Genomic DNA, 16,605 nt, shown 5'->3' with positions numbered 1-16,605 from the left:
TTTGTCCCTAGCTGGCCTCAGATGGTTCAGCTCTGTCAGTTTTTGCATGCTTCTCATAGTTTAATGCAAGAACCAGTCTCCAGCAGAGGGACCCAGGATGGTCAGAAAGCTAAAGCCTGCCTCCATCTCACTTTTTCTAGTGTAGAAACCATAAGTACAAGGGAACTTTCCACATATGGTATCATAATGGCTCAGGGGAAGTGGTATCATAGTCATAGAGAATCAATCCCCCTATTGTCCAAGTACAGATTTACATGTCTTTGTAGTCCAAGGAGGTTTTACAGCTTTGCTTGTTTGTTCAGATTTCTGTAGCTTTTGTGAAGATAATTTCATGCATGAACAGTTGGAATTGAGGTTTCTGTCAAGAGATGACTGCTGGAGAGCCCCACTTGCCATCATGCTCCATCTAAGTTGGTTCTTTTAAATGGCATTGAAGATGCAGCTCCTCTCCATCTAAAACTTATTTATGGTGATTGTTTTTTATTGTCCATCTCTTCCTATAAAAATGTAAGCTCCAGAAGGACAGAGAATTTTGTTTTTGTTAGTTGATAGACTTCAATTGCCTAGAATAGTGTCTGACACATAGTAGGCACTCACTAAATAACTGTTAAATCAGAATGCTTTTGCAGAAACCCAAATCAAAGCTCATTAGCTACCACCATTTTAAACCTACTTTTCTTACTGAATTCTTCATTTTGATTAATGACAAACATATCCATTCAACTATCTAAGCTGAAATTCTCTGAGTTAATACATCCTTTAATGTAAGGTCTTATTGTTGGTCAGTAAAAACATCCTCTCGATTTACCTCAAGTATCTTTCTAACTCATATTACTCTTTCTTGTAACTCATTGCCACTGTCTTCATGTAGGATCTCTTCATCTGACTTTGTACTATATCATACCTCTAGAGTGATCTGGAAATAATAGATGAGAGTCAGATATTTTGGCTGGAAAGTCTAGCTTTGCTTTTAATTAGCAGCGTGATTGAGTCTCTAATTTTCTTCATCTGCAAAATGGAGTGACCAATACATCTTCCTCATGGAGTCTTACGAGCATTAAAAAATAACTTATAAAAATGATTAGAAAAGTTATCAGGGCATAGTAAATGTTCAGTAAATATTAAATATTGTTATTTTCAGTCTTTCCTCTTTTGTTTCATGATTCCACTCTTACTAGATTTACTTTTCTAAAGCAGGTTGATCAATCTCAATCTATTAAATATACACAAATTTCATTTTTTACCATCATTTCCATATTACCTACTAAATTTTTAGCTCAACAGTATTACAAATAGGTAGTGAGGCATGTGAGTGGGTGTATGTGTGTGTGTGCTGTTATAACAAAGATAAAGCAAAAGAATAGAGTTGCATTATAATAGAAAAAAATGGATAAAGCAAAGATTAGGGAGAGGTGTAGAAAATTTCCTAGAGCATTTGATTAAAAGGTTGGTAGTTTAAATATATTGCGTAGATATAACAGACTTCTTCTAATCCTACATTTCATGGAGAACAGGAGGAAGATAAAGAAAATCACGTTTAATTCAAGTGTCTTGCTGATGTCTAGTGGTTATATGTGGTATATATGTAGGGAGAGGTGAATGTCATAGTACTTTAGAGGAGAAAAGAATCTTAGAGAATATTTAAATCAATGTTTCTTAGATTGGGTGATTTATGAAATTTAAAAGCAGCAAACAAAATTCTTGTAGTTTCTTTGGTGTTGACCTAAATAATTTTTATCTTCTAAATATTTATAAACATAAAATTAGTATAATTCTAAGCTCCAATAAAATTATACTACCAAGACAAATTAATAAAATAAAATTGTATTGAGGACCTCAGATTAATAATACTAATGTGATAAGTGACAGATGATTTTAATATGTTACATGTGGTTCTTTTGCTAAAATTCAATTTTGTCTCAAACTTGTAAAAGCTGAAAATGATCCTGAATTATTACATATTATTTTTTCTTCGGCATATTTATATTGCCTATACTAATATATGGGAAGGCTCAATTCTCTCACAATTTTATCTCGTACTCCTGTGAAATCTTATGTCTACTGCTTGTCTTGATATGTGTTATTCTTCAATTGGTGGGAAGAAATTGTTTGCATTTTATTCCATGAACTGTTTTTGCCAGACTATTTCAGTTAATGAGATACTGCTTGGCATAAGTACAGATGGAACTATGAGTTCTCAAATTCATGTTTGTTGTGGGTTATGAAGCATCTTACAGATAATACAAAAATGCTGATATTCTTTTTTTAGGGGGTTTTAAAACTTTTATTATTATTTTTAATTAAACAAGAATTATATATACTTATGGGGTACAATGTGATATTTCAACATTTGTATACAATGCATAATGACCAAATCAGGATAATTAGCATATCTATGACCTCAGACATTTATTATTTCCTTGTGTTGGGGACATTAAAAATCTTCTAGCAATTTGAAAATATACAAAAAATTATTGTTAATTATAATCACTGTACAGTGCTACAGAACACTAAACTTATTCTTCCTATCTACCTGTGATTTTGTTTTGGTTAACCAAGTTCTTCATATCCCCTTTCCCCCACTACTCTTTCCAGCCTCTATTAACCACTATTGTACTGTCTGCTTCTATGAGATCAACTTTTTTTTTTTAAATTATACTTTAAGTTCTAGGGTACACGTGACAACGTGTAGGTTTGTTACATATGTAGACGTGTGCCATGTTGGTGTACTGCACCCATTAACTCATCATTTACATTAGGTGTATCCCTTAATGCTGTCCCTCCTCTCTCCCCCCCACTCCATGACAGGCCCCAGTGTGTGATGTTCCCCACCCTGTGTCCAAGTGTTCTCATTGTTCATTTCCCACTGATGAGTGAGAACATGTGGTGTTTGGTTTTCTGTCCTTGAGATAGTTTGCTCAGAATGATGGTTTCCAGCTTCATCCATGTCCCTACAAAGGACATGAACTCATCCGTTTTTATGGCTGCATAGTATTCCATGGTGTATATGTGCCACATTTTCTTAATGCAGTCTATCATTGATGGACATTTGGCTTGGTTCCAAGTCTTTGCTATTGTGAATAGTGCTGCAGTAAACATACGTGTGCATGTGTCTTTATAGCAGCATGATTCATAATCCTTTGTGTATATGCCCAGTAACGGGATGGCTGGGTCAAATGGTATTTCTAGTTCTAGATCCTTGAGGAATCTCCACACTGTCTTCCACAATGGTTGAACTAGTTTACAGTCCCAGCAACAGTGTAAAAGTGTTCCTATTTCTCCACATCCTCTCCAGCACCTGTTGTTTCCTGACCTTTTAATGATTGCCATTCTAACTGGTGTGAGATGGTATCTCATTGTGGTTTTGATTTGCATTTCTCTGATGGCCAGTGATGATGAGCATTTTTTCATGTGTCTGTTGGCTGCTTAAATGTCTTCTTTTGAGAAGTATCTGTTCATATCTTTAGCCTACTTTTTGATAGGGTTGATTTTTTTCTTGTAAATTTGTTTAAGTTCTTTGTAGACTCTGGATATTAGCCCTTTGTCAGATGGGTAGATTGCAAAAACTTTCTCCCATTCTGTAGGTTGCCTGTTCACTCTGATGGTAGTTTCTTTTGCTGTGCAGAAGCTCTTTAGTTTAATTAGATCCCATTTGTCAATTTTGTCTTTTGTTGCCATTGCTTTTGGTGTTTTAGTCATGAAGTCCTTGCCCATGCCTATGTCCTGAATGGTATTGCCTAGGCTTTCTTCTAGGGTTTTTATGGTTTTAGGCCTAACATTTAAGTCTTTAATCCATCTTGAATTGATTTTTGTATAAGATGTAAGGAAGGGATCCAGTTTCAGCTTTCTAGATATGGCTAGCCAGTTTTCCCAGCACCATTTATTAAATAAGGAATCCTTTCCCCATATCTTGTTTTTTTTTCAGGTTTTCAAAGATCAGATGGTTTTAGATGTGTGGTATTATTTCTGAGGGCTCTATTCTGTTCCATTGGTCTATATATCTGTTTTGGTACCAATACCATGCTGTTTTGGTTACTGAAGCCTTGTAGTATAGTCTGAAGTCAGGTAGCATGATGCCTCCAGCTTTGTTTTTTTGGCTTAGTATTGTCTTGACAATGTGGGCTCTTTTTTGGTTCCATATGAACTTTAAAGTAGTTTTTTACAATTTTGTGAAGAAAGTCATTGGTAGCTTGATGGGGATGGCATTGAATCTATAAATAACCTGGGAAGTATGGCCTTTTTCACAATATTGATTCTTCCTATCCATGAGCATGGAATGTTCTTCCATTTGTTTGTGTCCTCTTTTAGTTCATTGAGCAGTGGTTTGTAGTTCTCCTTGAAGAGGTCCTTCATGTCCCTTGTAAGTTGGATTCCTAGGTATTTTATTCTCTTTGAAGCAATTGTGAATGGGAGTTCACTCATGATTTGGCTCTCTGTTTGTCTGTTATTTGTGTATAGGAATGTTTGTGATTTTTGCACATTCATTTTGTATCCTGAGACTTTGCTGAAGTTGCTTATCAGCTTAAGGAGATTTTGGGCTGAGATGGTGGGGTTTTCTAAATATACAATCATGTCATCTGCAAACAGGGACAATTTGACTTCCTCTTTTCCTAATTGAATATACCCTTTATTTCTTTCTTTTGCCTGATTGCTCTGGCCAGAACTTCCAACACTGTGTTGAATAGGAATGGTGAGAGAGGGCATCCCTGTCTTGTGTCAGTTTTCAAAGGGAATGCTTCTAGTTTTTGCCCATTAAGTATGATATTGGCTGTAGGTTTGTCATAAATAGCTCTTATTATTTTGAGATATGTCCCATCAATACCTAGTTTATTGAGAGTTTTTAACATGAAGGCTGTTGAGTTTTCTCAAAAGCCTTTTCTGCATCTGTTGAGATAATCATGTGGTTTTTGTCTTTGGTTCTGTTTATATGATGGATTATGTTTATTGAATTGTGTATATTGAACCAGCCTTGCATCCCAGAGATGAAGCCAACTTGATCTTGGTGGACAAGCTTTTTGATGTGCTGCTGGATTCGGTTTGCCAGTATTTTATTGAGGATTTTTGCATCGATGTTCATCAGGGATATTGGTCTAAAATTCTCTTTTTTTGTTGTGTCTCTGCCAGGCTTTGGTATCAGGATGATGTTGGCCTCATAAAATGAATTAGGGAGGATTCCCTCTTTTTCTATTGATGGGAAGCGTTTCAGAAGGAATGGTACCAGCTCCTCTTTGTACTTCTGGTAGAATTCGGGTGTGAATCCATCTGGTCCTGGACTTTTTTTGGTTGGTAGGCTATTAATTATTGCCTCAATTTCAGAACCTGTTATTGGTCTATTCAGGGATTTACTTTCTTCCCGGTTTAGTCTTGGGAGGGTGTATGTGTCCAGAAATTTATCCATTTCTTCTAGATTTTCTAGTTTATTTGCATAGAAGTGTTTATAGTATTCTCTGATGATATTATGTATTTCTTTGGGATTGGTGGTGATATCCCCTTTTTCATTTTTTATAGCGTTATTTGATTCTTCTCTCTTTTCTTCTTTATTAGTCTTGCTAGCAGTCTATCAATTTTGTTGATCTTTTCAAAAAACTAGCTGCTGGATTCATTGATTTTTTGAAGGGTTTTCTGTGTCTCTATCCCCTTCAGTTCTGCTCTGATCTTAGTTATTTCTTCTCTTCTGCTAGCTTTTGAATGTGTTTGCTCTTGCTTCTCTAGTTCTTTTAATTGTGATGTTAGGGTGTCGGTTTTAGATCTTTCCTGCTTTCTCTTGTGGGCATTTACTGCTATAAATTTCCCTCTACACACTGCTTTAAATGTGTCCCAGAGAGTCTGGTATGTTGTGTCTTTGTTCTCATTGGTTTCAAAGAACATCTTTATTTCTGCCTCCATTTCGTTATGTACCCAGTAGTCATTCAGGAGCAGGTTGTTCAGTTTCCATGTAGTTGAGCAGTTTTGAGCGATTTTCTTAATCCTGAGTTCTAGTTTGATGGCACTGTGGTCTGAGAGACAGTTTGTTATAATTTCTGTTGTTTTACATTTGGTGAGGAGAGCTTTACTTCCAAGTATGTGGTCAATTTTGGAATAAGTGTGATGTGGTGCTGAGAAGAATGTATATTTTGTTAATTTGGGGTGGAGAGTTCTGTAGATGTCTATTAGGTCTGATTGGTGCAGAGCTGAGTTCAATTCCTGGATATCTTTGTTAACTTTCTGTCTCATTGATCTGTCTAATGTTGACAGTGGGGTGTTAAAGTCTCCCATTATTATTGTGTGGGAGTCTAAGTCTCTTTGTAGGTCTCTAAGGACTTGCTTTATGAATCTGGGTGCTCCTGTATTGGGTGCATATATATTTAGGATAGTTAGCTCTTCTTGTTGAATTCATCCCTTTACCATTATGAAATGGCCTTCTTTGTCTGTTTTTATCTTTGTTGGTTTAAAGTCTGTTTTATCAGAGACTAGGATTGCAACCCCTGCTTTTTTTTGTTTTCCATTTGTTTGATAGATCTTCCTCCATCCCTTTATTTTGAGCCTATGTGTGTCTCTGCACGTGAGATCAGTCTCCTGAATACAGCACACTGATGAGTCTTGAGTCTGTATCCAATTTGCCAGTCTGTGTCTTTTAATTGGAGCATTTGGCCCATTTACATTTAAGGTTAATATTATTATGTGTTAATTTGATCCTGTCATTATGATGTTAGCTTGTTATTTTGCTCGTTAGTTGATGCAGTTTCTTCCTAGTATTGATGGTGTTTACAATTTGGCATGTTTTTGCAGTGACTAGTACTGGTTGTTCCTTTCCATGTTTAGTGCTTCCTTCATGAGCTCTTGTAAGGCAGGCCTAGTGGTGAGAAAATCTCTCAGCATTTGTTTATCTGTAAAGGATTATATTTCTCCTTCACTTATGAAGCTTAGTTTGACTGGATATGAAATTCTGGGTTGAAAATTCTTTTATTAAGAATGTTGAATATTGGCCCGCACTCTCTTCTGGCTCATAGTGTTTCCACCAAGAGATCTGCTGTTAGTCTGATGGGTTTCCCTTTGTAGATAACCCGACCTTTCTCTCTGGCTGCCCTTAACATTTTTTCCTTCATTTCTACCTTGGTGAATCTGACAATTATGTGTCTTGGAGTTGCTCTTCTCAAGGAGTATCTTTGTGGTGTTCTCTGCATTTCCTGAATTTGAATGTTGGCCTCCCTCGCTAGGTTGGGGATGTTCTCCTGGATAATATCCTGAAGTGTTTTCCAACTTGGTTCCATTCTCCCCATCACTTTCAGGTACACCAATCAGACGTAGATTTGGTCTTTTCACATAGTCCCATATTTCTTGGATGCTTTGTTGGTTTCTTTTTACTCTTTTTTCTCTAAACTTCTCTTCTCACTTCATTTCATTCATTTGATCTTCAATCACTGATACCCTGTCTTCCACTTGATCGAATTGGCTAATGAAGCTTGTGCATGTGTCACGCAGTTCTCATGCCATGGTTTTCAGCTCCATCAGGTCATTTAAGGTCTTCTCTACACTGGTTATTCTAGTTAGCCATTCGTCTAATCTTTTTTCAAGGTTTTTAGCTTCTTTGTGATGGGTTCAAACGTCCTCCTTAGCTCGGAGAAGTTTGTTATTACCAATCATCTGAAACCTTCTTCTCTCAACTCGTCAAAGTCATTCTCCATCCAGCTTTGTTCCATTGCTGGAGAGGAACTGCGTTCCTTTGGAGGAGAAGGGGCACTCTGATTTTTAGAATTTTCAGCTTTTCTGCTCTGGTTTCTCCCCATCTTTGTGTTTTCTATCTACCTTTGATCTTTGATGATGGTGACATACAGATGGGGTTTTGTTGTGGATGTCCTTTCCGTTAGTTTTCCTTCTAACAGTCAGGACCTTCAGCTGCAGGTCTGTTGGAGTTTGCTGGAGGTCCACTCCAGACCCTGTTCGCCTGGGTATCACCAGCAGAGGCTGCAGAACAGCAAATATCGCAGAACGGCAAATGTTGCTGCCTGATCATTCCTTTAGAAGCTTCATCTCAGAGGGGCACCCAGCTATATGAGGTGTCAGTTGGCCCCAAGTGGGAGGTATCTCCCAGTTAGGCTACTTGGGGGTCAGGGACACACTTGAAGAGGCAGTCTGTCCGTTCTCAGATCTCAAACTCTGTGCTGGGAGAAGCACTACTCTCTTCAAAGCTGTCAGACAGGGACTTTTAAGTCTGCAAAAGTTTCTGCTGCCTTTTGTTCAGCTATGCCCTGCCCCCAGAGGTGGAGTCTACAGAAGCAGGCAGGCCTCCTTGAGCTGTGGTGGGCTCCACCCAGTTCGAGCTTCCTGGCTGCTTTGTTTACCTACTCAAGCCTCAGCAAGGGCAGACGCCCCTCCCCCAGCCTCGCTGCTGTCTTGCAGTTCGATCTCAGACTGCTGTGCTAGCAGTGAGCGAGGGTCTGTGGGCATGCGACCCGCTGAGCCAGGCACTGGATGTAATCTCCTGGTGTGCAGTTTGCTAAGGCCATTGGAAAAGCGCAGTATTAGGGTGGGAGTGTCCTGATTTTCCAGGTACCATCTGTCATGGCTTCCCTTTGCTAGGAGAGGGAATTCCCCAACCTCTTGTGCTTCCCGTGTGAGGCGATGCCCTACCCTGCTCCGTGGGCTGCACCCACTGTCTGACAAGCCCCAGTGAGATGGAACTGGTACCTCAGTTGGAAATGCAGAAATCACTGGTCTTCTGTGTTGCTCATGCTGGGAGCTGCAGACTGGAGCTGTTCCTATTTGGCCATCTTGGAACCCGAAAAATGCTGATATTCTTAAAAGAATAAAACTCTGAGGTAGGAATTGTAAGTCAGGAGGAATATGTCCACTGATTACTCTGAGACTTTAGTTTTACAAGCACTGTTTACTCTAACTTCTTTATATTTTAAATTAGAAAACTGAAACCAGATAAATGAGCTTATATACTTAGGTATCAAATTTAATGCCAATGCTCAGAGTAAGACCAAGGTCTTTATTCTTTCAGGAGATTGTGTTTTCACTAAATCACTTTGTTTTAGACAGAGAAGGAAAGAGAGGAGGAGCTAAATGGTTTTCTCTGCTTTTGCATCAGATTTTAGGTAAGATAATAGCATTTTATCTAGCACTTTTAAAATCACGACTTTGTTAAAAGTGGAGTATTATTTTTAGTCATTTCTGAAACAGCAAGAACAAACTGAATTTATCTATCTATCTGCATTGTATCATCCATCTATAATTTTTAATGTAGGTAATTTGGATCAGTAAGTGAGTTGAAAACAGATTTTAGGGTATTTAATATTATGAATAATTATCCTGATTATTTTTCTCTAACCCCTCATCTAAAAGATATCTTTACCTTGTTCCTGAGTGGTAGGAAATCATACAGTCTTTTATTATTAAGTATGATGTTAGTTCTAGGTTTTTCCCAGGTGCTTCGTTAGAAGTTCATCAATTTTATTTTTCTTCTGAAAGGACTAGTTTTTGGTTTCATTGATTTTCTCTGTTATTTTTCTGTTTTCTCTTTATTTGATTCACACTGGTCTTTTTACTTTACATTGTTTTGGATTTGTTTTGCTGTTTATTTTCTGATGTTTATTTCTTATTAAATCTCTTTTAAAAATTGTTGACTCTTTAAATAAATGTTATGTACTGTATTTTGGAGTTTATAACATAAATAAAATTAGAAGATAGAATAACAAAACACAAAAGCCAAGGTGAGAGAAATGGAAGCATACTATTTCAAGATTCTTATTTTATATATATGGCAATTTAATATCACTTGAAAGCCATATTTTGTTTTGTTTAATTTTGATTGCCACTATAGTATACACTAAACACACACACAAATATTCACACTCACTCTCAAAAAATAAAAAACGACTATAGAGAAATGAGAACAAAAAAGGAAAAAGAGTAGACATATCAGGTGGCAGATTTAAACCTAACCATTATCAATAATTACATTAAAGGAAAATGATCTACATACTTCAGTTAAATATAAGAGATTGCCAAATAGGATATAAAAGCAATATTTATCAAAATGCTGCCTATTATAAACACACTTTAACCAGTTAAATAACCAGTTATATAACAAAAGTAACCAGTTATATAATGAAACATTTAAGTTAAAAGCAAAGGATTGGAAGACATATGTACCAAGCTGGAGTGCCTGTAATAACATCAGGCAAAGTATAATAGATACCACAGCACAAAGAATAGAGCAGGAATAAAGAGTATTATTTCAACATGGCAAATAGGTCAATTAATCAAAAAGAAATAATACTTCCAAATATTTATGCTCCTGAAAAGAGAAATTTAAGATACCTGAGGAAAAATGAGAAATGAGACCACCTACAATTACAGAAGAATTCAGCTTCCCTGTTTTATTATTAGTGAAACAGATAGACAGAAAATCATTCAGATCATAGAGAATTTAACCAACTCTATCAAAAATCTTATGTACTTAATCTCACCTAGTGTAGTTTTTATCTCAAACATTGTGTTTGAAACTTTTGAAGGGTAATTTTGATATTTATCTTCCATCTCTCTACTTAATATGCTCATTTCCACTCTGTTTTATTGTACATATGGTTTATAGTTACAGTGATTACTTTAATGATCTTGTCTACAGTGTTTTATCTGTAAAATATATAGTCTCAATTGATTAATTGATTTTACCTCTCATTATGGGTTGTATTTTTCAGCTTGATTGTTTGCCTGGTACATTTTGATGGGTTATTAGATATTATGAATTTACCTTTTCTGTGCTGCATATTTTTTATTTCTGAAAGTATTCTTGGGATTTGTTCAGTGACATAGGTAAGTCACTTTGAAACAGTTGGGTCTTTTGGATATTGCTTTGTTTTTGGAAGAAGAGTAGTCAAGGGCTAATTTTATATGATCACTGAGGAAACTGAGGTTTGAAATGTTCCCAACACATAGAAATAATTAATACTTCAGGTGATTAATACACTAAATACCTTGACTTGATCATTATTCATTCTATGCATGTAACAAAATATCCCATGTACCCAATAAATATGTACAAATATTATATACCAATAAAATATAATGGGTTTTATGTGTTAAAAACTTTATACAAATTATTATTTTTATATATAGAAAGATATCTTTTTTTTCTTTATGTTGATGCCAAAATTGATCCAGAGTGATATATATAGTCTTATTTTTTTTCATTTTAACTTCAAGAATTAATGCAACTAAACCTCAAACATGTGAAGAGTCAGATGAAAATCATTGACCTCTGTGTGGGACAAAACAGCTGTGGGACATCATGAGAGTAGAATTTTGCTGTGTAAAGGAAGAAATGTTTTAATAGTTGGAACTGACCAAAAACGGGATGAGTTACTCACTATAGAAAATGTTCGATGAAAGCATATGAAGATCGATCATACTAATAAAGATTCCTTGATTTTGAGGAAATCGTGTGTCCCACAGATTCTTACCAGCTCAATTACTCCTAGATGTCAAAGGAAGGTTAGAGTTTCCTTAACCCTAACTAAAGATTTACTGATCATTTTAAAGTGCCACATGCTTCAAATTTCATCTAGAAAAGTAGCACAAAAATCCATAGGCTCAAAGGTGGCAGCGTATGTCTGGCTTAAGTATTTAAAGTTAAAATGCTGAAGATTTGCAATTCTATTTCCTTTATAGACCATTGATAAAATGATTTTCCTATTTTTACAAATGTTCAAAAATAGATTTATCAAAAACCATCACAAAATTCTTTTAATACGTATGAAATCTTTTTCAATTCAAATGCACTGTGTTTTAGGAGCTTACAATACAAATTTCTTAGTTAATTCATCAGAATACTTGTTGAGCACCTTATCATTTGCAAGTACAATGATAAGCACATGGACTGTGTCTTCAAGATGCTCACTGGGAAGTTTTACATCTAAATGAGTAATCATCATGCTGTTTGGTGATTTAAGAAGAGAGGAGTTACTGTCTACGAAGGACCTCCCAGAGGATATGGTAATTTACATGGTCGTTGAAGAATGAGAAATCACCCTGAAGAACTAATATGGATAAGACCATTTCAGCTGGGAAGAACAACATGTTCAAAATAACTAATTTGCATGTTTTGAGAACTGTATGCAATATGATAATGTTGCAGTAAAAATGAGAAAGGGAAACAGTGGAGATGAGGCTGATAGGGCTAGATTATAAAGAGTTTTCTGTGCCATTTTAGTAAAATTAAACTTTATTTTCTAACACAATGGTAAGCCAATGAATTATTTAATCTTACTTTATTACCAAGGTTGTAACAATCAAAACACAAGAAGGTTGGGAAGTCAGGTAACAATAAAGTAGTTCTGAGAAAAAGCACAGATACTGCTCAGAACAAGGAAAGAACAGTAACTTAATAAAAGGAGGAAGGTGGGTTCCATGTTTTGAGGTCAGAGAATATAATTTGCCTATTATGACTAAAATTTTGACTACCCTGGCTAGCATCAAAATAGCACATAAAGCATTGCCTTAATTACCCTCAGGTTGAACTACAGACAATTTAGTTAAGGAAAGGGGGAATATGGCATGCTTTTGATTTTAGGAATTTATAGTCTAGAGGGTCAGCTTACTATTTTTTTCAATTTATATTTTCTGATAGATTACCACCAAAATCATAGAATTTTAAAATCAGTTTAAACTTCATGGATATTATACAAAAATCTGGAAAAGACAGGCAATAGGCAATTAGAATGGGCTATATTCTGGGGGTATTTTATATGTCTTTTTATGTGTTTTACTATGCATCACATGAACTGTTACTCCAACAAAAAACAAGATTTGAAATTAATGATAATTATGATAGTATAAATAAAACAGAATATTTTATAAAAATTAATATATTACAGAAATAGTACACTAGAAATGAGTTTGTTTTCTTAGTCTAAAAATTTGTTGCATTCAGTAATTAAAAGTTTAAAAAAGTATAGTATAATTATTAGTGGGACAAGAAGTTCTTTAATATTGTAATTTAAAGATGGATTTAATGGAAATAAAATAGGTTTAAAGTTGCGACCATGCTTTTGACTATACACAGTTTATCAAAAGTGAAAACTCCCTTACTATGAACCATTTGAAATTATGCTTTCATCACTTCTGGGAGATGTGCTTTTATTACTAGCAGCAGAGAATAAAATGGAAAACTAATTTAGGTGAAAATTATTTTCACAGTAACTCCATTTTAACCAGATAAAAATATCTTTTATAAAGAAAAACTAACATTAATAAATTATGTTATTCTTAATTGCAAAATGTCAAAGAAATAAAAAATATTTATGTGCCATTTTTTATAGAAAACTTTTTTTTATTAATTTGATTTGGGAGAACCAACCATGGATAATTTTATTTTATTTTATTTTATTTTATTTTTTATTATACTTTAAGTTTTAGGGTACATGTGCACATTGTGCAGGTTAGTCACATATGTATACACGTGCCATGCTGGTGCACTGCACCCACTAACTCGTCATCTAGCATTAGGTATATCTCCCAATGCTATCCCTCTCCCCTCCCCCCACCCCACAACAGTCCCCAGAGTGTGATATTCCCCTTCCTGTGTCCATGTGATCTCATTGTTCAATTCCCACCTATGAGTGAGAATATGTGGTGTTTGGTTTTTTGTTCTTGCGATAGTTTACTGAGAATGATGATTTCCAATTTCATCCACGTCCCTACAAAGGACATGAACTCATCATTTTTTATGGCTGCATAGTATTCCATGGTGTATATGTGCCACATTTTCTTAATCCAGTCTATCATTGTTGGACATTTGGGTTGGTTCCAAGTCTTTGCTATTGTGAATAATGCCGCAATAAACATACGTGTGCATGTGTGTTTATAGCAGCATGATTCATAAACAATGATGCCAATCACAAAACGGTGAACTAGAGACGGTATATTGAAAGGGTGGCCTGCCCCTCCACACCTGTGGGCGTTTCTTGTCAGGTGGAACGAGAGACTTGAGAAAAGAAAAAGACATAGAGACAAAGTATAGAGAAAGAGAAGTGGGCCCAGGGGACCGGTGCTCAGCATACAGAGGACCCACGCTGGCACTGGTCTCTGAGTTCCCTTAGTATTTATTCATCATTATCTCTACCATCTCGGAGAGGGGGATGTGGCAGGACAACTGGGTAATAGTGGAGAGAGGGTCAGCAGGAAAACGTGAACAAATGTCTCTGCATCATAAACAAGGTAAAGAAAAAGGTGCTGTGCTTTTGATGTGCTCATACGTAAACATCTCAGTATTGCCACCAGCATGTCTCACCTGCAGCCCTAAGGTTGTTTTCTCCTATCTCAGTAGGTGGAATATACAATCGGGTTTTACACCGAGACATTCCATTGCCCAGGGACGAGCAGGAGACAGATGCCTTCCTCTTATCTCAACTGCAAAGAAGTCTTCCTCTTTTACTAATCCTCCTCAGCACAGACCATTTAGGGTTGTCGGTTGTCGGGCTGGGGGACGGTCAGGTCTTTCCCTTCCCAGGAGGCCATATTTCAGACTATCACATGGGGAGAAACCTTGGACAATACCTGGCTTTCCTAGGCAGAGGTCCCTGCGGCCTTCTGTAGTGTTTTGTGTCCCTGGGTACTTGAGAGTAGGAAGTGGTGATGACTTTTAACAAGCATGCTGCCTTCAAGCATTTGTTTAACAAAGCACATCCTGCATAGCCCTAAAACTTAATCCATTAAACCTTGAGTCGACACAGCATATGTTTCTGCGAGCACAGGGTTGGGGGTAAGGTTACAGATTAACAGCCTCTCAAGCCAAAAGAATTTTTCTTAGTACAGAACAAAATGGAGTCTCTTATGTCTACTTCTTTCTACAAAGACACAGTAACAGTCTGATCTCTCTTTCTTTTCCCCACATATATACTAGACATTTATAGCCTTACAATTTTGTTCTTTTGGCAACAAGTATCCAAGGATATTCCTTCCCTACTAGCCTAAGCTTCTGTGCCAGTACTGGCACAGTTTGGCTCAAGATCCATTTCTCCCCATTCCACTGCTCTGCTTTATGTGCCTGGGAGGCTAATCCCTGCAGGCTGTCAAGTCTTCTTATTAAGATTTCTTTGTATCTCAAGTTTCCTTATTGAGAGATCTGGTAGGGGTCTATTCAGTAAGAGTCATTGGATAGAGATTGGAAGGCAGCAGGAAGAGAGAAGAAAGGGAAGAGAAGTTTCAGGTGTTCCATTTGTGTCTGGAGCCTGAATTGTTCCGGCTCCTCTTAGATAGTATTATTGAAAGAAATGGCAAAAAATGCAATAACTTTTGCACCAACCTAATAGTTACGTAATTCCACCTTCTACCAAGTGACAGCAGCCCCTGGGCTCTTCCCACACTGCCTCACCCATTTCTCTCTTCCACCCAGGATTTAGTAATGGCTCCCTGCTCTTGATAATCTCTGACTTTTTTCCCTGTTCCCTTCTATAATCTGTGTAATAACTTCTGTTATAAATTGAAATATTTTCTTAGATTTCAGTTGAATCAGATATTCAGTTGTCTCGTAAATTGGTTTTTTCTTCCCCAAACTACATAATGAATGTGATAGTTTATTTTATGTCACTTGACTGGGCTAAGGAACATCCAGATATCCAATAAAACATTATTTCTGGATGTGTCTGTGAGAATGTTTCTGGAAGAGATTAGCATTTGAATTAGTAGACTGAATATAGATAATAGCTTTCATTATCTAACCTGCCGAGGGCTCAACTGGAACAAAAACATACAGGAAGAGCAAATTTGCTCTCTCTTCTTGAGTGGGATATCCATCTTTTTCGGCCCTTGGACATCAGCGCCCTTGATTAACAGGACTTTGAATTCAGACTGGGACTTACACTGTTAGCTCCCCTGGTGCTCAGGCCTTCAGACTGGGACTGAATTACACTACTGACTTTACTGGTTCTCCAGCTTGCACAGCAAATCATGGGATTTTTTTGGCCAGGATAATTGCATGAGCTAATTTTTATAACCTCTCTCTCTTTCAAGTGCTGCATAACAATATTTCAGTCAATGAAAGGCTGCATATATGACAATGGTCTCATAAGAATATAATGAAGCTGAAAAATTCCTATTGACTAGTGATGTTGTAGCCATCAGAACACTGTAGTGCAATGGATTGCTCATTTGTTTGTGGTGATGCTGAGGTAAACAAACCCGCTGTGTTGCCAGTGGAATAAAAGTATAGCACATACAATTACATACAGTACATCATACTTGATAATGACAATAAATGACAATGTTACTGGTCTGCTATATATTTACTGTACTATACTTTTTTAAAAATTTGAATCCTTGATTACTGAAGCACCATTTATATATACCTCATCCAATGAATTTAAAATTTCTGCAAAATCAGAAACGTTAATGTTAAATTTCATTCTATATGTTTTGATTCTTACTGGAACCTTTTTAAACTGACACATCATCATTAAAGCATGTTGGAGTGTATTATATGATCAAAAGTTCAAAAATCTCTCAGTACATGTTTCTACAGTAGAAGACAAATTAAGAGCATAAATTTTGGTGTAAAATTGCAGGTGGTCTTTTCCAAAGATGAAAACTCTATACATTTGCCTGTAATGTCCTCTATGAATG

The 16,605-nt window shown here is 36.3% G+C and overlaps 1 long non-coding RNA gene across 1 annotated transcript in view, besides 3 other annotated features; it reads left to right on the top strand.

The window, feature by feature from the left end:
* LOC105375911 (uncharacterized) overlaps positions 1-16,605 on the top strand; it is a 268,808-nt gene that overhangs the window by 212,336 nt on the left and 39,867 nt on the right. The window lies entirely within an intron of this gene.
* Positions 7,860-8,456: an enhancer, noted in NCBI's record as "NANOG-H3K27ac-H3K4me1 hESC enhancer chr8:79357423-79358019 (GRCh37/hg19 assembly coordinates)". NCBI's record gives its function as "activates a minimal SCP1, AML or CMV promoter by ChIP-STARR-seq in naive and primed H9 embryonic stem cells {active_cell/tissue: H9 hESC(naive and primed)}" and the evidence as "EXISTENCE:reporter gene assay evidence [ECO:0000049][PMID:30033119]".
* Positions 8,379-8,428: a silencer, noted in NCBI's record as "silent region_19307". NCBI's record gives its function as "represses an Ori minimal core promoter by ATAC-STARR-seq in GM12878 lymphoblastoid cells {active_cell/tissue: GM12878}" and the evidence as "EXISTENCE:reporter gene assay evidence [ECO:0000049][PMID:35858748]".
* Positions 14,258-14,906: an enhancer, noted in NCBI's record as "OCT4-NANOG hESC enhancer chr8:79350973-79351621 (GRCh37/hg19 assembly coordinates)". NCBI's record gives its function as "activates a minimal SCP1, AML or CMV promoter by ChIP-STARR-seq in primed H9 embryonic stem cells {active_cell/tissue: H9 hESC(primed)}" and the evidence as "EXISTENCE:reporter gene assay evidence [ECO:0000049][PMID:30033119]".

The sequence above is a fragment of the Homo sapiens genome, chromosome 8, assembly GCF_000001405.40.
Source record: "Homo sapiens chromosome 8, GRCh38.p14 Primary Assembly".
In the NCBI taxonomy this organism is placed as follows: domain Eukaryota; kingdom Metazoa; phylum Chordata; class Mammalia; order Primates; family Hominidae; genus Homo; species Homo sapiens.
The sequence above is the reverse complement of the archived record's forward strand: the minus strand, read 5'-3'. Positions and strand labels throughout refer to the sequence as shown.